At 38.3% G+C, this 23422-nt stretch overlaps 2 protein-coding genes across 9 annotated transcripts in view; both read right to left on the reverse strand.

Moving 5' to 3' along the window:
* Window positions 1-7701: 7701 nt before the first annotated feature.
* OR1E2 (olfactory receptor family 1 subfamily E member 2) lies at window positions 7702-8673 on the reverse strand. The gene has a single exon (NM_003554.2). It carries the CDS (start codon window positions 8671-8673, stop codon window positions 7702-7704), a length of 972 nt encoding a protein of 323 aa, NP_003545.1.
* Window positions 8674-14850: 6177 nt separating this feature from the next.
* SPATA22 (spermatogenesis associated 22) overlaps window positions 14851-23422 on the reverse strand; it is a 73840-nt gene continuing 65268 nt past the window's right edge. For 7 of the 8 annotated variants that reach the window (NM_001321336.2, NM_001321337.2, NM_001170696.2 and 4 more), the window contains 3 exons: window positions 21304-21433; window positions 18006-18103; window positions 14851-15170 (listed from right to left, as the gene is read on the reverse strand). In NM_001321336.2, the coding sequence (NP_001308265.1) occupies window positions 14979-15170; window positions 18006-18103; window positions 21304-21433 (420 nt within the window). In that variant the 3' untranslated portion in view covers window positions 14851-14978. The remainder of the gene's footprint in view (window positions 15171-18005; window positions 18104-21303; window positions 21434-23422) is intronic. The other variant, NM_001170699.2, reaches the window with a different exon arrangement.

The raw sequence follows: 23422 nt of genomic DNA on the forward strand, positions 1-23422 counted from the left end.
GGCCTCCAAGCTCCATCCATGTTCCTGCAAAGGACATGATCTCATTCTTTTTTATGGCTGCATAGTATTTCGTGGTGTACATGTAACATATTTTCTTTATCCATTTTACCATTGATGAGCATTTAGGCTGATACCATGTCTTTGCTTTTGTGAATAGTGTTGCAGTGAACATAAGCGTGCATGTGTCTTTATGATAGAACTATTTATATTACATTGAGTATATACCCTGTAATGGAACTGCCGAGTTGAGTGATATTTCTGTTTTTAGGTCTTTAAGGAATTGGCACACTGTCTTCCACAATGGTGGAACTAATTTATGCTCCCATCAACAGTGTATAAGCATTCCTTTTACTCCACAACATCGCCAACATCTGTTATTTTTTGACTTTTTAATGATAGCCATTCTGACTGGAGTGAGAGTATCTCACTGTATCTTCAAATCCTTGATAGTTGCACTAATCTCTGCAATCCCTTCAGGGATGCGATATTGTTTTCTATTTACTATTTTTCTAGGTAGAGGCAGCTCTAATGGCTTCCATTTGGCCTTTCCCACCATAATAGCCCTCACCCTACCAGTCAAGGAGTCAATGTGAGGGTCCTGACACTGCTACGTATGTCTATGCCAATTATGCATTCTGGCACTGGGGAAATGACCACGGGATGAGTACAGGGACTCACTGTAAGTTGGACCTGAGCTAAAACTCCATTAATTACCTGACCTCCATAAGCCCCTACTTTAACTGGAGGACCACAGTGACGTTTCGGATCCCCTGGAATCAATGTCAGCTCAGAACCAGTGTCTAGTAGTCCCTGAAAGATCTGATTATTCCCCTTTCCCCAATGCACAGTTACCCTGGTAAAAGGCTAGAGGTCTCCTTAGGGAAGAATGGGAGAAAGATTAACAGCATGAATTGTCAGTAGTGTAGTGAGGTCCTTCCCCAAGGGGACCCCACCTCCCCTTCATTCAAAGGGTTCTGGGTCTGTAAACTGGTTCAAGTCTGGAAACTGATTGAGGGGCCATGATTCTCTGTTTTTATATATCAAATTAGTATTTTGTCCACTGGACCTGGAAGTTTTTTGCTTATATAAATCAAGTAAGAATGCAGTAGGCTTCCTGTCAGTTTCACTTCTAGGAACACCATGATTAATTAGCCAATGCCAGAGCTCTACACAAGTCAGACTATTCTGATTGCTGTTTTGCCTCTGCTGTCCATTATGGTGGCTACAGCCAACTTGTCTTTAATGGTTGAGTGCTGCCACTTGGCCCCTGCCACCTCGGGATCCAATTATTCCCACTGCATTTAAATTTTATAGTTGAGTGACTGCAGTTCCCACTGTAAGATCTGACATACAGAGAGGAGCAATCATAGAGCTCTTTGAGGATGCAGGTGCTGCCCTCACAAATCTATTTCACAAAGTATTAATCAAGGGTATATCTTCTGGGCCCTCCCAGCTGGGATGAGTAGGTCTAAAGTGACTAATCCACTCCAGCATCCCTATCTCCCTAAGCCTTTGGATTCCTTCCTCTACATTAAACCAAAGAAGATCAGGCATTTCCAGCTCGCTCACAGTGGGCCATCTTTTAATCCATATTTCAGCTAACCAAGCAAATAAGCTAGTAGAATCTTTTTTAACTTCCCAAGCAGCAACATTAAATGCAGAATCCCTGCTTAGTGGGCCCAAAGCAATAAATTCAGCCAGATACAACTTTATGTTCCTTCCACCATTATCCCACACCCTTAATATCCATTCCCGTGCCTGTTCTTTAGATTTCTGCTCATTTAAATTAGAAAACTCAAGCAGTTCTTTTGGATTGTAGCACACTTCTTCATGGGTCACACTCTGAACCTCACATCTAGGGGCCTGCTGGGACTTTAGTCTAGTTATAGGTCTAGAAGCAAACAGGGGTGTTGGGGGTGGGCCCTGAGGAGAATAAACATTGCATAGCCACTGCCTCAGAGAAGGCCATTGCTGTTGCCTTGGGCAGTGCAGGGTTATTCTCCTCAATCTCCATACATGCAGTCAGCAAACATACGAAAAAACTCAACATCACTGATCATTAGAGAAATGCAAATCAAAACCACAATAAGATAACATCTCATGCCAGTCACAATGGCAATTATTAAAAAGTCAAGAAACAATGATGCTGGTGAAGCTGCAGAGAAATAGGAACACTTTTACACTGTTGGTGGGAATGTAATTAGTTCAATCATTGTAGAAGACAGTGTAGCAATTCCTCAAAGACCTAGAACCAGAAATACCATTTGCCCCAGTAATCTCACTACTGGGTATATACCCAAAATAATATAAATCATTCTGTTATAAAGGTACATGCACATATATGTCCACTGCAACACTATTCACAATAGCAAAGACATGGAATCAACCCAAAAGCCCATCAATAATACACTGGATTAAAAAAAATATGGTACATATACACCATGGAATACTATGCAGCCATAAAAAGGAATGAGATCTTTATTTAATTTATGGTCTTTTTTTTGAGACAGTGTCTCACTCTGTCACCCAGGCTGGAGTGCAATGGCACGATCTAAGCTCACTGCAACCTCCACCTCCTGGGTTCAAGTTATTCTCCTGCCTCAGCCTCCATAGTAGCTGGGATTACAGGCACCCGCCATCATGCCTGGCTAAGTTTTGTAGTTTTGTAGAGATGGGGTTTCAACATGTTGGCCAGGCTGGTCTCGAACTCCTGACCTCAGGTGATCTGCCCGCCTTGGCCTCCCAAAGCTGAAATTACAGGCGTGAGCCACTGGTGATCATGTCCTTTGCAGGGACATGGATGAGGCCAGAAGCCATTATCCTCAGCAAACTAATGCAGGAATAGAAAACAAAACACCATATGTTCTCACTTATAAGTGAGAGCTGAACAATGTGAACACATAGACACAGAGAGGGATACAACATACTGGGGCTTGTTGGGGTGGGGGGGCAGTAGGAGGGAGAGCATTAGGAAAAATAGCTAATGCTTGCTGGGCTTAATACCTAGGTGATGGGTTGATAGGTGCAGCAAATCACCATGGCACACATTTACCTGTGTAACAAACCTGTACATCCTGCACATTTGCCCTGTAACTTAAAATAAAATAAAAATAGAAACACAAAATTCCAAAACCTATAGAATACAGCAAAAGCAATATTAAGAGGGAAATTTATGGTAACAAACTCCTACATAAGAAATATTTCCAATAAACAACCTAGCAATATACCTCAAGGAACTAGAAAAGTGAGAACAAATCAAACCTGAAAGTAGTAGAAGGAAAGAAATAATAATAAAGATCAAAGCAGAAAGAAATAAAATTGAGACTAAAAATGTGAAATATTAATAAAATGAAAAGTTGATTTTCCTGAAAAGTTTAACAAAATTGGCAAACCATTAGCTAAACTAATTAAGAAGAGAGAAAACCCAAATAAATAAAATCAGAAATGAAAAAGGAGACATTATAAGTGATACCACAGAAACACAAAGGATCATTAGAAAATATTATGAACAACCATATACCAACAAATTAGAAAACCTAGAGGAAACAGATAAATTCCTGAAGATAAACTGCCTATAAAGATTGAACCAAGAAGAAAAAACAAACCTGAACAGACCAATAATGAGTAATAAGATTGAATCTGTAAGTAAACATCTGCCAACAACAACAACAACAAAAAAGTCCAGGATCAAATGGTTTCACTGCTGAATTGTTCAAAACTTTAGAGAAAAAAAACCCTTAATACAATTTCTTTTCAAGCTGTTTCAAAAAACAGAAGAGGAGGAAACTCTTCCAAACACATTCTATAAGGATAGCATTACCCTGATACTAAAACAAGACGAAAAAACAAAAATAGAAAACTAAAGGCCAATATCCCTGATGAACATAGATGCAAAAATTCTTCACAAAATACTAGCAAACAAAATCCAACAGCACATCAAAAAGATTATGCACTATGTTCAAGTGGATTCAAGTGGATTTATCTCAAGAATGCAAAGATGGCTCAACATATGGAAATCAACATATGAGATACATCACATTAACAGAATGAAGGACAAAACCCATATGATCATCTCAATAGACACAGAAAAAGCATTTGATAAAATTCAACATCACTTTATGAAAAAAATTCTCAATAAATTAGGTATAGAAGAAATGTACCTAAACACAATAAAGACCAAATATGGCAAACCCACAGCTAATATCATGTTGAACGGAGAAAAGCTGAAAGCTTTTTCTCTAAGAACTGGAATAAGACAAGGATGTGTACTCTTGCTAATCTTATTAAATATGCTACTGGAAATCCTATCAAGAGCAGTTAGACAAGAGAAAAAATAGACAGCATCTAAACCAAAAAGAAGGAAGTCAAATTGTCCTTTGCAGATAAATAGTCCTATCTATAGAAAAGCCTAAGAATCCCACCAAAATGTCTTAGATTTAAATTAAATTAAGCAAATTCAGTAAAGTTGCAGAATACAAAATCAACATACAAAAATTAGTAGCATTCCTATACACCAAAAACAAAGTAGCTGAAAATAAATCAAGAAAGCAATCCCACTACCTAGGAAAAAAATCTAACCAATCTCTATAAGGAAAATTATATGAAAGAAAATGAAGAGGATAAAAAAAAAAAAGGAAAAACATTCCATGTTCATGGATTGGAAGAAATAATATTGTTAAAATGACCATACTACCCAAAGCAATCTACCAATTCCATGTAATTCCTATCAAATAGAAATGATATTCTTTCATGAAATAGAAAAAAAAAATCCTGAAATTTATATGGAACCACGAAACACCCCAAATAGCCAAACCAATCCTGAGCAAAAAGAAAAAAACTCACTGTATCACACTACGTGACTTCAAACTACACTACACAACTATAGTAATCAAAACAGCACGGTACAGGTATAATAACAGACAGACCAATGGAACACAATAGAGAATCCAGAAATAAATCCATGTATTTACAGCCAACCAATTTTCAACAAAAACACCAAGAACATACACTGGGAAAGTCAGTCTCTTCAATAAATTGTGCTGTGAAAACTGAATATCTACATGCAGAAGAATAAAACTAGGCCCCTACCTCTCACCATATACAAATATTAACTCAAAATTGATTAAAGACTTAAATGTAATACCCAACACTATGCAACTACTAGAAGACAACATAGGGAAAATGTTTCAGCAACTTACTCTGGGCAAATATTTTATGGATAATACCTCAAAAGCACAGCCAACAAAAGAAAAAATAGACAACTTGGATTATATCAAACTAAAAAGCTTCTGCACAGCAAGAAAACCATCAACAGGATGAACAGAAAACCTGTAGAATGGGAGAAAATCTTTGCAAGCTATTCATTTGGTAAGGTTTTAATATCCAAAATGTACAAGGAATTCAACTCAACAGCAAATAATAATAATAATAATCTAAGTTAAAAAATGGGCAAAGGATCTGAATAAACATTTCTCAAAAAAAGACATACAAATGAACAACGTGTGTGAAAAAATGCCCAATATCACTAATTATCAGGGAAATTCAAATCAAAACCAAAATGAGACCTCATCTCACCCCAATTAATGTGAGTATTATCAAGAAAACTAAAAATAACAAATGCTGGCAAAGATATGGAGAAGGATAATTCTTATATATTGTTGTTGGTGGGAATGTAAATTAGTACAGCTATTATGGAACATGGTATGGAAGTTCTCATAAAAGCTAAAAATAGAACTACCAATTGATCTAGCAATCCCATTACTAGGTGTGTATGCAAAAGAAAGAAAATAGGTATGTCCAAGAGACATTTTCACTCCTAGCACTATTTATGTTAGCCAAGATATGGAATCAACCTAAGTGGCCAATCAACAGATGAATAATGAAAATATGGTGTATATATACACAATGGAATACTACTCAGTCAGTAAAAAGTATAAAATCTTGTCATTCATGGCAACATGGATGAGCCTGAAGGATATTTTGATAAATAAGTCAGGCACAGAAAAATAAATACCACATATTCTCATTCGTGTGTGGAAGCTTAAAAAGTTGGCAGTATAGAAGTATAGAGTAGAATATTGGCTGCTAGAGGCTGAGAAGGGGAAGAAGTGGGGTTATAGAGGTTAGTTAATAGATAAAAAATTATAGGATAGGAGGAATAAGTTCTAGTGTTCTATAGCGCTGTAGGATGACTCTGGTAAACAATTTATTGCATTTTTCAAATAACTAGAAGAGAGAATTTTGAATGTTCTCAATACTAAGAAATGATAAATTTTGAGGTGATAGAAATGCTGATTTTCCTGATTTGATCATTGTACATTGTATATATGTATCAAAATATCACACTGTACCCAATAAATATGTACATTATGTGTCAATTTTTAAAACAATTTCAAAATAACTAATATAAATGAATGAGTGAACAAATGAGTGAGGTTCTTAAGCAGACTTTGGTTCCCTTCCCCATGCTTGAGAAGTCCTTTTAGGGCCTTAGGTATGACTTAGTTCTTAGATATAGATAAACTAAAGTATGGTATGTAAGCAAATAGAAAGTTCATTTTAGGTTTGGGTCAGGTAAAAAGACATGCAGACATAAAAATTAAGAAAAGTTCAACCATTGTGGAAGTCAGTGTGGCGATTCCTCAGGGATCTAGAACTAGAAATACCACTTGACCCAGCCATCCCATTACTGGGTATATACCCAAAGGACTATAAATCATGCTGCTGTAAAGACACATGCACATGTATGTTTATTGCAGCACTATTCATGATAGCAAAGACTTGGAACCAACCCAAATGTCCAACAATGATTGACTGGATTAAGAAAATGTGGCACATATACACCATGGAATACTTTGCAGCTGTAAAAAATGATGAGTTCATGTCCCTTGTAGGGACATGGATGAAACTGGAAATCATCATTCTCAGTAAACTATCGCAAGGACAAAAAACCAAACACCGCATATTCTCACTCATAGGTGGGAATTGAACAATGAGAACACATGGACACAGGAAGGGGAACATCACACTCTGGGGACTGTTGTGGGGTGGGGGGAGGGGGGAGGGATAGCTTTAGGAGATATACCTAATGCTAAATGACGAGTTAATGGGTGCAGCACACCAGCATGGCACATGTATACATATGTAACTAACCTGCACATTGTGCACATGTACCCTAAAACTTAAAGTATAATAATAATAAAATTTAAAAAAGAAAGAAAACAAAGTTAGGAGACAGGCTGATGTGAACACTTGCTCAGGAAAATGAGTAAAAAAAATTTATTCAAAATTTGTAGTTTTGTTTAGCAAAGAAGGGGACTGAGATGTCTGGGTCTTATTATTGACATGAGAGGACAGAATATCATTTAAAGCAGACCTACAGGGTTTTTTCAAGTACACATGATAAACTGGTGGTTTAACAATGAAGACGGAAATTTTAATTTAAATATTTTAAATCTTTAATTTAAAGATTTTCTTCACCTGGGATTAGCAAAAAGGAAAATCTTCCTAGCAGGTTACTGAGAACACCTTACTTCAACTACATATCCCCCCCACATCTGTTTTACTTACTCAGAAATTATGTAATATTACATTTAAACAAAAAGTTTCATGTGCAGAAAAAAAGAGATCTGAAATAATATTGAAATATTAATGTCCATGTATCTATTAGATAAAATTATATAAGACTCCCAAGTATTACTGTCATAGAAGGAAGGGATTTTTCCTTTTACAAATGACCCTTTCCAGGGCTCCCTTCATGTCTCTGTTCCTCAGGCTGTAGATGAAGGGGGTCAGCATAGGGGTCACCACAGTGTACATCATAGCCATGACAGTGTCCTTTAGAGTAGAACTATTAGCTGATGGGCATAAGTAGAGACCAATAACGGTCCCATAGAACAGTGACACCACAGAGAGGTGGGAGCCACAAGTAGAGAAGGCCTTGCAGATACCCTTAGAAGAAGGGACCTTGAGGATGGAGGAGACAATTCTTGCATAGGACCCAAGGATGAGTAGGAATGGGATGACAAGAATGAGCCCTCCCATGATAAATATCACCCATTCATTAACTCGAGTGTCAGAGCAGGCCAGCTTCAGCAGAGCAGACATATCACAGAAAAAGTGGGGGATCACATTGTCTGCACAAAAACACAACCTGGCCATGAGTAAAGTGTGTAACATGGCATGGAAGGTGGTCAGCACCCAGGACAGCGCCACCACGGAGAGACAGAGCATGGGGCTCATGATGGCGGTGTAGTGCAGGAGGAAGCAGATGGCGGTGTAGTGCATGGGGAAGCAGATGGCCACATAGCGGTCATAGGCCATGGCCACAAGGAGGAAGCTCTCTAGATCCGAAAAATACAAGAAGAAGTACATTTGGGTCAGGCAGTCTGCATAGGGGATGGATGGGTCTTGGTTCTGCATGTTCTGCAGCAATTTGGGCATTGTGACTGAGGAAAAGCAGAGGTCAGAGAAGGACAAGTTGCTGAGAAACAAATACACAGGCGTGTGGAGATGGGAGTCCAGTCGAATGAGGACAATGATGAGGAGGTTCCCCAGGAGGGTGGTAAGATACATGGCCAAGAACAGGGCATAGCACAGGTTTTGCTGCTCTGGTTGGATGGGCAGGCCCAGGAGCAGGAAGTCTGAGATGCTGGTTTGATTTTGTCCCATCATGCTCTGTCTCCAGTATCTTTAAGAGAATATAATAGGGTCCCTCAAAACCGTGAATAAAAATAAATATATTCCTATGATACATGGTCAACAGGTGTTCAATCACTGATTTCACCCTCATTTTCCCTAACAACAATCTCTATATTCAGAGATTTCTATAATTATTTCTATAATCAGAAATGTGCCACATCACAAAATCCACGCTACTTTTCACACTGATCCATCTCACTTTGCATAACATGTAGCAAGATTGACTCCTCCTTTCTTTCTAAAACACTCTTATCTATTAGCTTCCGTGCAATCACACTGGTTTCCTGACACATATTGGCCATTCCTTCTTAACAACTGTAAATGGTTTCTTCTCTAACAGTATCTTATACGTTGCTGTTTTCTGGGAATTTTTCCTAAATTCTGTTCTAATTCTACAGATCAAGCCCTGAAAGAGTTCACCTGTCCCCGTGACACTGATTACCATCTGAACTTCCTGGGTAAACCTATCATCATTAGTACTGCATTAGCAGTTGCTTCCTGATTATCTCCCTATGGATCATGACCATCCTCAGCTTAACAGATCCCAGATGAAACTCGTTATCTCACCCTGCCACTCTTCCAATTTGCTCCTCCAGTCTCTCATATCTCAGTAAAAGGAATCCAGGCTCAAGTCAGAAACCTGGGAGTTTTCTTTCATTTATTTATTTCTCTCAAGATCAACATCTAATCCTAGCAAGTTATATAGATTCTGTACTTCATTCTATTTCTAATTCACCCACTGCTTATCCCAGTTGCCACAATCTGGAACAGGCTGACATCTTTTCTTGTCTGGACTATTGGAATAGTCTCTTACTTCATCTCCCTGCTGCTATGCTCACTAGCCTTCAATCCATTCACACTGTGGCGTTCTTTTTTTTTTTTTTTTTTTTTTTTTGAGATGGAGTCTCGCTCTGTCACCCAGGCTGGAGTGCAGTGGCGCAATCTCAGCTCACTGCAAGCTCCTCCTGCTGGGTTCACGCCATTCTCCTGCCTCAGCCTCCCGAGTAGCTGGGACTACAGGCACCCGCCATCGCGCCCGGCTAATTTTTTGTATTTTTAGTAGAGACGGGGTTTCACCGTGTTAGCCAGGATGTTCTTGATCTCCTGACGTCGTGATCTGCCCGCCTCAGCCTCCCAAAGTGCTGGGATTACAGGCCTGAGCCACCGTGCCCGGCCACACACTGTGGCATTCTAAGATAAAAATCTGATCATCATTCTCCTGCTCAGAGTCCTTATGGATTCTCATTATTCTTAACATATACACAAAATTCCTTTCAAGGACACAAATCATATTTCATTATCTGACCCATGCCTACCTCCACAGCCTCATCTGGTCCCACAATGACTCTTGCATCAGCATTCTCCAGCATTCTCCAGCAATGCTAGACTTAGAAGTCATAATTTCTTGCCTCCAGACGTTCACACTTGCTGTTCCTTCTGTGTAACATCTTACCTCTGCTTTTTTTTTTTTTTTTTTTTTTTTTTTTTTTTTTTTTTGAGACAGTCTCGCTCAGCCATCCAGGCTGGAGTGCAGTGGCACGATCTTGGCTCACTGCAAGCTCTGTCTCCCAGCTTCACGCCATTCTCCTGCCTCAGCCTCCCGAGTAGCTGGGACTCCAGGCACCCGCCACTACACCAGGCTAATTTTTTTGTATTTTTAGTAGAGATGGGGTTTCACCATGTTAGCCAGGATGGTCTCGATCTCCTAACCTCATGATCCGCCTGCCTCAGCCTCCCAAAGTGCTGGGATTACAGGCGTAAGCCACCACGCCCGGCCCCTCTGCCTTCTCTTACTTGGCATACCCCTGCTTCTCCTGCAGGTTTACTACATGTCACTGGCTCAGCTCAATCACTCAGACCAGGTGAGACCTGCTTCTAAGTTTCCACAGCATCTTGTACTCATCCAGCAGCATTCAATGACCTTGATTGCTTGTTTATAGCTGAGTTTCCTACCAAATTGTAAACTCCATACAGATAAGGCCATGACTGCCTTCGTGACTGCACCAAGGCCAGCAACTGGGATGGTGCCTGGATATGGCCAATGTTTCATTAGTATTTGTTGGCTGTCCTTCAGGCTGAGACATACACTCCTCCAACTTTATTTTTTATTTATTTTGAGACAGAGTTTCACTCTTGTTGCTCAGCATGGAGTGCAATGGCACGATCTCAGCTCACCGCAACCTCCGCCTCCCAGGTTCAAGCAATTCTCCTGCCTCAGCCTCATGAGTAGCTGGGCTCACAGGCAAATGCCACCACACCCAGCTAATTTTTGTATTTTTAGTAGAGACGGGGTTTCTCTATGTTGGTCAGGCTGGTCTTGGACTCCTGACCTCAGGTGATCCACCCGCCTCGGCCTCCCAAAGTGCTGGGGTTACAGGCGTTAGCCGCCGCGCCCGGCCCCTCCAACTTTAAAGCAGCCAACACCCATTGTAGTTTAACGACTCCTATTAAATCCTCCCAGAATAAGAATTCACTAGCCTTAACCATTTAGTGCTAGTTTTGACACTTTATTACAAAATTCTGAGATAAACTTCAGACCTATGGAAAATGTTAGACCATCCAACCACCCTACTCTTTATTTTAAAAAGACAGCCCATTATGCATGTTGACACTGTCATTTTGGTTTTGGTGTTGATGTCTACATGGTTCAGTTATGTTGACATGAAGAATTGTATCTGAAAGTTTCTATAATTTGGGGAGAAAGGGAACGAGGATATCCACCCTTGAGACCTCGCTGTACTTCCTCTCCAGATATCCATACCTCAAAATGCCTCTGAGCTAAGAAAGCTGAAGGGTGTTAGGGTACATGAGAAGTTCCTTCCCTAGAGGGATGTAGCTGAGTCTGTCGGGATCTTCACCCTGCTAGTGATGTTTAGTCTAGCCACGTTAACAGTTTTTCACATTTGAATATAATCTGCTAGTATTGTAGTAGGGAAATGGCATCAAGTGAAGTTTCACATGCCTGTTCTCTCAGAAGTTTGCCTACCTGGGAAATGAGTGGGACCAATCTCTGGTGTCAAGGGTCTTATTAGAAATTCCAAACCAGAGAGACATCACTTGTGAATGCTGCCACTGATCGGGAATATAAATTTCAGCTGCTCCCTCAATAATGCCTCTCATCTTCTTCACCTGGTAAATCTACAGTTCTCAGTCTGGACTGAATATAAGAATCACAAAGGTCACTGCTTCTAAAACTTTAATTTACATACAAACCACCTGGTGGTCTTGTTAAATGCTGATTTTGATTCAATAGGTCTGGTGTAGGGCCTAATATTCTACATTCCGAAAGTTAAAATTTCACATTTGGTGATGCCAATTCTGCTGTTCTGTGGACCACACTGAGTAGTAAGGACATATAATACATTTTAAAAATACAGATTACGGCACCATCCCCCAATAAATGTAATTAGAATCTCTGGAGGGGGCCTTAAGTAAGCTCCTTAAGTAATTCAAATATATGGCCGAGGGCTTGAAATCTCTGTATTAAATGCCTATCTCATAGAGATGTCATTATGTTGAAATGATACAATCATGAGAGAGGACATTGCATAGTATTAATGGACACTGTCATTAATAAAAAGATATTAAGTTGTGAACATTAAATCAAAATATTTCTGGAATGTAGAAAAGTCTTGAAAAGCAGAGAGGTGGAGAAAAGGAAAGTTATATCTGAAAAACTATCCTATAGAACATCATACAACTGGGGAAATCAAGACCCTCAGGTTGTAGGGATGCTAAGCTACCAGCTTATTCACCCTCCTGCCCAACTTACTCTGTGTCTGAGGTTAACTCCAGGGCCCTGATCCAAAATCCTCCTCCCCTTTATTGGTTGCAACAGCCTTTGTAGTCATCACCTGTGTCTGTACTCACCCTTCTGACATCTCTCTTTCTACCTATCCCTGGCCCTACCGGACTATGCATCCCGGAGAAGCCTAGATCCTGGAGGAACTCATTAAAAACAAAGTAATTACACAGGACGTCTCTAGAACAAATTATCTTAGAGTCCTGCAACAGTGACTGATTACAGCTGTTGATCACACCTTACTATACTTTGGGGGATCGGGGGATCATGAGAATGGAGAGAAGCTCAGGGATGGGTGTTTAATCATTGCCTGCTTAGGGAATGGAGAGCATGCCTGTGAGGTTGGGGCCTACATCTTGAGAAGTGAAGAAAAATGGTTGGAGAAGTCACAGAAGCAAGCAGGGACCAGACTGTAAATGTCCTAAAACATCTTAAGAGTCTAAGAGTTTAGGCTTTATCCTGTGGACAACAACAAGCCATCAGTGGTCTTTGAATAGAGGACCACCAGGGAAAGACATATGCTTTGGAAATATTTCCAGGTGGCAGAATCTCTTACTATAACCCAACTCCCTGTAAATAGGCCCTAGGAGAGAGAAAAATGGTAACCAACAAGGATCAGACTTCCATTATCCAACCATATACAGATATAAAGGACAGGAATAAGAGAAAAGATGAACTCTCCCGGATCACATTCAATTCTTCCTCAGGCAAATATGGAAAAGTAAATCCATATTTGCAGCCCTCTGAGTTACTTCTAGCTCCTTACCTCTCTAGGAAAACCTTAATAACCAGACACCATCATTATCTCAACCACTCTTCACGTGTCATATTACCTCCTACTAGCTTTTCCTTACCCTACAACTGATCACAAGACCACAACTGACATTTACAACTCCTTCTTCCACACCCATTCCATGTTCCCTTTTACATAACTTCAGCTAGATTCAACCCACATTCCTTTTGAGTCTGAATCCTCAGTGTTATTGTTTTTCTTGGGTTGCTATAATAGTGTTCCATTAACTTTTACTAAGTGACATACAGAAGAATCCCCTGCATGTCAGATATGGTCTTCCCTTTCCTCATTATGCAGAGAAACACAATTTTCCATTGTTAACTGGGATTGAAGTACCACAGGCAGTACAGTAAACCCCTTCTTTGCCTACTGATTTGAAAACATAAAGAACCAAAATTGCCAAATGGCAGTCTCAACTTTCAGTAGACTAGAACCATGGAAGCACTTCCGGTAAAACATTAAGAATTGTATCAGACACTTCTTCCTTAAGAATTGTATCAGACACTTCTTGTCCACCACTTCAAATTCTCTCAGCCATCTTCTCTTATTCCAGCCATGGTTGCAATAACCAATTCTGTGCAGCCTTTGACCAGCTTCACATAGATTCGGTCTGACAGTTTTACTCAGGCCTATTCCATCTGCTTCTTGTGTCCTGCCATATGGTTCCTCTGATTCCATGGAGTAGAATATCATGGAAAACCAGCCCAATGCTCATACATACACAACCAGAAAGTGCAAGGGAGTTGTTGCCGTGTTGGTCAACCCTTAAATACAGGTATTGGGAGCTTATGCATATATGCCTTAGTCCCTCCTAGTGGCTGCCAACTCAATAAGTCATCCTAGTAACTGGTCTCTCTTCTTCCCTATTTAACACCCCCTCTATTCCTTACTTCTTCACATGAGGTAAAATTCTCAAATAAACTACTTACAAATAAGACTTTTTCTCAGTCTCCACTTTTTGGGTAACCTAGGCTATGACAGAAAGTAAGATCTGTTAATCAACAGAGCCCAAAATTGTGGGGGTAGGGAGCAAAAGTTCTGTGGGTATGTTAGTTGGTCTAATAATGAGGAAGTCAGCCCTACTACCACTCCTTGATTTCCAGACTTGTGAATCATGGCTATGAGAGAAACATGATGATACATGGGCTCCTGGTTCAAAGCACACCAACCTTTCTGGCACCCCTAATTTTTGTTACTTTGTGAACTGCTCTGTCTCTAGCATTTGCAACAATGCCTGGCACAAAGCAGATTTTCATTAAATATTTGAAGTAATTAAATGAACCGCACAGACTAGCAGTTCCAGAACAATGCTTAATAACAGTAGTGACAGTGGGTACACTTGTCTTTTTCCTGATAGTGCAAATACCTGTAGTATTTCCCCCTTAAGCCCAATGCTGGCTTTTGAGCTAACTCAGATGTATTATTATCCCATATTAAATAAGCATCATCTATTCCTGTTACAGTGAGCATTTTTATCTAGGATGGTTGTGGAATTTTAGCAAATATACCATTTTAATAAAAACATTAAAATTATACTTCAAAAACTCTTTCCACATTTAAAAGAATTCAAATACTTTAATTCAACAAGTGAAATACAATAGTAGCTATAAAACTATGGAGATGGTAAATTAAGCAATAACAGAAAACTGCTATAATTTATGCTAAACTTCCTTTTATCACTACTTAAGTTTCATTCATCACATTAATATAATACTGCATCTCAACATCTGCAATTTTGACAAATGCCTGGAAAGTTTTTTGTTCAGAAACAGACGCCGGTCTGACAGAAACACATTGGAAAATGTTCTTTTTCTGGTCATAGTTGCCAACACATCTATGAACTCGGCCTCTAATCAGTCTCGGAAGTTCACGATCCTGTTTTTCAAAAAATAAGTATCAAAAAATAGTTATTACTTCATCTGAATTTCAATTTTTTAAATATTTATGTGATCAACTAAACATGTGCCACCTCAAAATGCTATAATTCCTTCACGTGAGTCAGGGCCCCACTGCTAACAAGACAATGATAGTTATTCACATATTGGTACCCTGTAACAGAGGAAAGACCCTCACTTGGTAGGGCTCTTACAAGCTAGCAAGTTGTTGCTTCATCAAAGACTGAATAATCCCCAGTGTAATGACACATGAAATTACCCACTCTTTTATCAGATTCCCAGAGTTCCACTTTCAGTAGGCAGCAGACTGGGTGACTCAAAACAGCTCATCAGATGACAATTAGGATAGCTGGATGAAATGTTTTGTTAAAAATCTCCTCGTAAGCATCAGAGAGATATCAAGACAGTGAGGAATTACAGAGACCCCCTCACACCCCATCTAGGATAGTATGGGAGTCTCAGATGAAACCTGGTTTGGGGTGTGCTTTCTCCCTGAGATGTCTGCAAATTACAGAAAAGCATTTGAGAGTCTAAGAAACTGAGCAGAGATTTCACAGACTTGTATAGGTGGGAAACAAAAAAATGGAATCTTAGGCGTCCAAGGAAAAGAGATTCTAGTAACCACCCCCACTCAGACCTGAAGCTTAAGGTTGGGACCCAAAAGTGTGATGCCTTTAGAGACAAGTAAATCAGAAAAAGATTAGCCTTCTCCAAATCCTCTCAATTATGAATAAAATTAAAGCATTCTGAAGTTGCTTTCATTAAATAGTCACAAAAAGCACTAATTATAAGGGGAAAGACTAATTATTGATAAAAGGATTATATGAAAATGAAAAACTTCTGTTTATCAAAAGCCATCATCAAGTGGGAAAAAGCAAACCATGGATATGAGAAAATATTTGCAATGCACATAATGGACAGAAAACTGATTCCCAGAATAGTTTTTCTTTTTAATTCCTAGAATCAGTAAGAAAAAGACAAATAAGAGAAGAAAACAGCAAGATGCCTGAACAGACTTTACAAAAAAGATATCTAAATAGCATATGAAAAGGTACTCAACCTCATTACTCACTAGGGAATTGTAAAGAAATGAGATAACACTAAATTTACTCATCAGAATTGTTATAATAAAAAAGATCGACAATACTAAGCGTTCGTAAGAATGCAGAGCAACCATAACTCTCCTACATTGCCTGTGAGTACTTAAATTGACACAATCCTTTGAAAAATTCTTTGGCAATATCTACTGTATTTGAATATACACATGCTCTATGACCCAGCAATTTTACTTCTGAGTATATATCAAACAGAAATACATGCAAATGCATAAGAGACATAGATAAGAATGTTCATAGAACATTATGCATAACAGCAAAAAATCCAGAAACCCAAATGCCCACCAACAGTGAAATAGAAAACTGTAGCATATTCATGCAGCACAATATTATACATAGCAATATAAATGAGTGAGCTACAGCTACACACAACATAGATGAATCTTACAAACATTTTGTCAAATAAAGGAAATCACATATTTAAAAAGACATAATGTATGATACTATTTTTATAAAGTACAAAAACAGGCAGAATGAATTGATGACATTAAAAGTCAGGCTAGTGGTTACCTGTAAGTAGAAGACAAGAGGTAGTGAATGGGAAGAAGCACAAAGGGATTTGGGGGGTGATGACAATGTTCTGTTTCTTAACCTGGTTTGGCATTCACTTTGTGATACTTCACAGAACTGTACAGTTATGATTTTTATACTTTTCTGTACATGTTATACTGCAATAACAAAGTTTTTTTAAAAAACTTCAGACTAGATAAAAATAATACACATTCAAGATATTATAGGAATTGACAATTATTTCTTGATCATCAACTATGTGTCATGCACTGTATATTCATGTTTCATCATTTAATCCCCTTAACAACCTTTCGAAGTAGGAATTTGTCTCCCCATTTTATATTTTTTAAAAATCTGAAGTTCAAGTAATTTAAGCAGCTTTCTTAAGTCATAAAACTAGAAAATGTTGGAGTAAATGCTGGAATCCAAGTCTGATTTCAGAATTGAGGCCAATGTCAGAATTAAGGTCAAACTTTTACAAAGTTTATGTAGCTCTTATACAGCCTCAATGTGTGTAGGTCTATAGCCTCCTTTGCAATCTCCACACTTCTATGTCACCAAGCCTCCTTATATCCCAGCCCACTATGCTTTCCCCCACTTTCAGAACCACTACCCTTACCCCTAACAGTTCCTAACTCTTCACTTTGGTAATTATAACTACTTTCAGTTCCCTGAACAAGTGAAGCTCTCTCTTAGCTTCAAGTCTTTGCATATGCTGCTCCCTCACCTTAGACTATATCCTTCTTTCCCTCCCCAACACATTTTGGCTTAGTTGATTCTTATTAGTCCTTAAAGATCTAGGATAAGTTACCACCTTCTTTGAAAATCTTTCCCTGATCTGCCCCTTCCTTCTTACCTACTTCTCTAGCACCCTGCACATACCTAGCTCCACCAAGCCATTCACCATATCACAGTGTAACATTTCTGTACCATTCTACCTGGGATTACAAACTCTGAGAGAAAGAGCCATTTGCCATTTACATTCCACTTTATATCCCTCAAACCCAGCACAGTACCTAGCACGTAGTAGGCTCTCTATATTATAAAAATAAACAACTTTCATATCAGAACTAAAACCAGTGTTAAAAGTACTAAATTGTTAACAGAATTTATATTTCAACTGAATTATAGCCTGCATGTTTATATTCTGTTGACATAGGCTTCGCAAAGAGTACTTTAAAAATACTCACGATTTCATAAAAGACACAAGGCAGAGTATTTTTCCCATCCCTCATAAGAAAAGTCTTCGAATAATATGGGCCAGGTGTAACAGCTGAATCAAGAACAGCTAAGCAATATTGAAATGGGGGAAAAAATGAATGTTGGTAAACTGCAAATAAAATTTAACAAAGAGAAGCTGATGTTTAAATAACTATCCATATCAACCTCTCATAGTGCTATTTATATAGCAATAAAGAAGACATTTTAAGAAGAGAAGATATTTCTCAGGCAGTTTTATAGGTAGGAAAACAAAACTTCTGACTCTCTCCAACTTAGGAACAGATTATATGCCAAGCTCATACAATTGACAATAAATGGCCATCTGAAACTTTTTCCTTAGAATGTGTAGTACAGAGTGGTTAAATCCCCAGAACAGTCTACAACATTATAATAATAAAATGCACATGTGTAACAAATAAGCATCATAATTTAATGAAAAAAGAAACATTGAATTAGAATCAGGAGACATGCATTCAGGTCCCAGGTACTTCAACTTACTAATATTTTGTGACTTTGAGCAAACTGGGTATTAAATTTATTTTTATTATATACATTTAAGGTATACAACATATTTTCATATACATACAATATATTTTCATATACCTATATATAGTGAAATCATTTCTACAGTGAGCAAGTTAACATACCCAACACCTTCCATAGTTATCCTTTGTGTGTGTAAGAGCACCTACAATCTACTCTTACCAAAATTTTAATATACAATACAATAATATTAACTATAGACCTCCTCTGTGCATTAAGTCTCTAGACTTACTCATCCTACATAATTGCAAGTTTGTACCCTTTGACCTACATCTCCCTATTCCCTCCTCCTTGAGTAAATTGTTTAACCACTTTCAAATCTGTTTCTTCACCTATAAAACGCAAATTGTAATTCATGTTTATCTCAAGAAACTATTATGAAGTGACAGCATTATTCATTTATTTAATAACCATCTACTGAGTACTGGTAGTGGGCATTTGTTATTTTGAGGCTGGCCTCCATTTCTGCTAAAAAGACCCAGATTATCCTTCAGGAAAATTCCATTTTTAGCCATATTATTTGGATAGGATTTGTCCCCATCCCCAGATCCACGAGTGAACTGTGACTGACTTAATCCAATCAGCATATTTTATTACTCAACTACGTAGTTCAGGGTTTCTGCAATAGGCATGTTACCAAGTCAGAAATGGTTATATGCAAAGACTCATTTGTTAGTTTGTAGGAAAGAGCAATCAGAAGAAAAATCTAAGAATATGACGGTGTGGTATAAGAATGTATAGTCTACAAAAATTTAATAATCAACTTGCTACCATAAGGAGAGAGTCAGAAGCTTCTGGAGAGACTATAGTGTGGAGCCTTAAGATGAAGCCAACGTTATGACTGGCCAGAAGGATGGAGAGAAATCACTGTGCCATCTCTTGAGCAGCTAGATCAAGCTTTGCCTGAAGTCAGAAACCTAGCCACTTTTCAGTTGCGTGAATAATTCTCTATGCAACACAATATTATACATAGCAATATAAATGAGTATTTAAAATCCACTAAAGTTGTTTTTTTCTGGGGGGTGCTTGCAACTGGAAGATACTTCCTATATACAGTGCAGTGTGCTAGACACTAAAGTGTAGTAAAATGAAGTATCTACCTTTGATAAGTTTAGAGTCTAGCCTAGGAACTCAGGATTATTATAGCACTATGAAAGCTAACCATCACATATAAAAGCATGGACCCCCTTCATTTCTTGATAAGAATGTCTATTGGTGTTTATAATGAGTATTGTGATATTCTTAAAAGGATTATTCTGGAGTGAACCTGAACAACTCACCAAAGAGAACCTGGGGAAATGAATGGAATCAGCATGTCCTTTTAATAGGCTCAGGTTATTTTAATATTTATATTCTGTAAATGAGGTGAGAGCCAAAGGCATCTTTCACACAGGAAAAAGCAATTTAGTGGGAAGTCCAACAGGGGTTAAGATCTTTGAAATAAGATGTTCTACCTCTGACAGTATTCTAGCTCTGACAGAAAACTGACATGAAATAGAATACCATCTGCTATTGCAGTTACGTGGCTACTGGTAAGAACTGAACAAAATAAGAGCTAAGTCAAGCTTCAACAGAGTAGTAACAGTCATGCCAACCAGCTAAGAGATATGCTTCAAGCAACATGAGTAGGACTTGATAAAGAATCCCTGAAGTATATGGGAGTTCCAGAGGCCAGAGGCATGGAAACCTCCAAAAAGCCAAAAACGAAAACTGAACAAAACCAGCCCAGCCAACACCTTGATTTTAGCACTGTGATACCCTGAGTATAGAACGCAGTCAAGCCCACATGGACTTCTGATCTACAAAACTTGAGTTAAGAAGTGGGTGTGGTTTTTAGCTGCTAAGTTTCCATTACTTTGTTACGCAGCAATTGAAAATGAATACAGCGTGCTTTACTCAAAGTCTGAGTCTCTATTGAATCCAATGTCACTTTATATAATAAAGCTTTTTCCTTAATGGTAACAAGAGAGAAACTGGAATCATTTTTAGGTGAAAGTTAAACATGTGAAATGACTGCACTGATAGAAATCTACATCTATATATACACACATTTATATTTACATATATATATATAACAGGACAAAAGGAAAAGGAGGAGGCTGTATCAGTTTCCCATTGCTGCTTACAAATTACCACAAACTTAGTGGTTGGCTTAAAACAACACAAAAGCATTATCTTAATAGTTACGGAGGTCAGAAGTCTATAATGAGTCATCAAAGCCATGTTCCTTTTGGAGGCTCTAGAGTAAAATCTATTTCCTTAATTTTTCCAACTTCTCAAAGATGCCTGCATTCTTTGGCTCATGGCCCCTTCCTCCATCTTCAAAGCCAGCAAGGTAGCATCTTTCAATGCTTTCCTTGTATAAGGGACCCTTGTGATTACATTGAACCCACCCAAATAATACAAGATAATCTTCCCATTTCAAGATCCCTAACTTAATTACATCTGCAAAGTCTCTTTTGCCATATAAGGTAGCATTCACAGGTTTTGGTAATTAGAATGTAGGCATTTTAGGGTGCATTATTCTGGTAATTAGAATGTAGACATTTTTAGGGAGCATTATTCTATCTACCACAGGGACTATTATTAAAACCAGTTCTTTGAATACACTTTAGGGAGTAGCAAAAAGCAGACTGTTTTATTTGGAAGAAAAAGGACTAATCAGACATTAAAACCTGTCCTCCAGAGAGTATTACTGAAGTATTTTTAAAGTATTTTACCTACCTAATACTTCAAAAAGAAGTACAGTTTTCTGTGCATGTTCACGCCAATACTTCATGCTTTCAATAACTGCAGAAATAATTCTTAAAGAACTAGCTTTTTCCTTAAACTGTAACTGATACAATGAGGTTTCCTTTTGAAAAAATAAGAAACATAGTATTAGAAAAATATTTGTTTTTTTCATCATACTCGTTTACCTTCTACGTAAAAATTCTAAGTCCTTACAATGGACAAGTGTGTAAAAAGAACTACTGAAAATTTTAGTATAGTTACTTCCCTAAAATAAGGCCATCAATACTATATTACAGATGGAGAAACCAGGGTGCACTTAGAGACAATCAAGAGGAGAATTATTTATATAGGTATTCATTCACTCATTCATTCATTGACTATTTTAAAGCATCATATGCCAGATCCTGTGACAAATATAGGTAAGGCCATTCCTTTCCCTAGTGCACTCACACTCTAGGGGACTCTAGGGAAGGAGCCAGACACATTCATTCATTCATTCGTTTCAAAAGTGTTTACTGAGCACCTACTACATGCCAAACATAGCTATTTAGGAAAAATTCATGGACAAAACAGTCAAGATATCTGTCCTCGAAGATTTTATTGTCTAGTGGAGGATTTAAAAAATAAGTAAACATATAACAGAATGTCAGGAAATGTACTTTTTTTTTAGGAAAAAAACACACAAGGTAAATGGAAAGAGAGAGAGATGGGGGTTATTATTTTAAGTGGGTTGTTGAATGAGGACAGTGGGAACAGCAAGTATAAAAGCCCTGAGATGGAAATGTTCTTAGCATTTTTGAAGATCAACTAAGAATACAGTGTGTTAAAATACTAATTTTCAAAGGCAAGGGGACGCTTTCCTTTGTGAGGGTGAGGGTTGTGAAGAACATATGATGGGACCTTTTTTCAAAATACAGGTAGTTTCTTCCCTCTTCCCCCGCTTAACGAAGATTCTAACATGCCTCCTGTTGATGATGGCCACAGTAAACCACTGTTACTAAGGTGATTATGTCATATAATTCTTGAGTACAAGGAAACATAAGATTGAGAACCACTGTGAAACATGCTTTATTAATCTTATTTCCAACAAAAAACAAAACATGCAAAAACAAATTTTACCCCGATGGCTTTTTGAAAAGATTGCTTTTTCAGACATAAGGGCAGAACAAAAACTAACAACTGTAAGAAGTTGTTACCATTCCTAGGCTGAAAGGACAAGAGGAGAAAATAAAAGTATCACGCCCAGGAAAGCTATACTCATGAAGGGGCTACATCATGCAGTGACACAGCCACTGCTGGTGATGTAACATTTAAGACAGGAGAAAGTGAGAAAACCCAACCTTTCCTCCCACCCTATGATGTCGTACCAGTGACTCCTACTGGCTGACCTCTAGCAAAAGCCAGCAAGTAAACAATCTCAGGATGATGCACTACATAGGACAGTTCAGCCTTCCACAACAGAGAAGGGCAGGTGAAGAATCAAGTGGGCCAAGGGGCCAGGGAGCAGAGATGAGGAATAACCAGCACACATAATATATAAATAACATTTACAAAGAGCAATCAGAGCACTGAGCGTAGAGAGGAAGTACAGTTGAGATACAGGTATAGGGAAGAATATAAACCAAAGCACAGAGTGTATGCTATGTTTAGAGAATTGTGACGAGTCTGAAGTGGCTAGAGCATTGGACAATTAGTAGACTATGAAATATGAGGCTACAAAGGTAGACTAGGACAAGATCATAAAGCAAAGGTCATAATAAGTTGATCATAAAGAAAACTATGGCCTGCAGTGCAAATCTAACCTGCTATCTATTTGTGTAAACATTTGTTGGAGGAGAGCAGTGTCCATTCATTTATGTATTGCTTATGGCTGCTTCCAAGCTACAGTGGCAGAGTTGAGTAGTATTGCTGAGTAGCTGCAACAGAGACAGTACGGCCCATAAAGCCAAAAATACTGTCTGGCCCTTTAAGAAAAATGTTTGCTGACCTCTGTTGAAAAATACTTAGAATGACATATCAAGAGCCTGGGTAACTTCATAAACAATGGATAAACTGTCTTTATCTTTAAAATGAGTGTAAAGTGAAAGTCAGAATCCAGCAGAAAACTCTA

The sequence above is a fragment of the Homo sapiens genome, chromosome 17, assembly GCF_000001405.40.
Source record: "Homo sapiens chromosome 17, GRCh38.p14 Primary Assembly".
Classification (NCBI taxonomy): domain Eukaryota; kingdom Metazoa; phylum Chordata; class Mammalia; order Primates; family Hominidae; genus Homo; species Homo sapiens.

Excerpts from the sequence above, each read along its gene's own strand:
- OR1E2 (NM_003554.2), bottom strand. The coding sequence starts at position 8,673 with ATGATGGGACAAAATCAAACCAGCATCTCAGACTTCCTGCTCCTGGGC.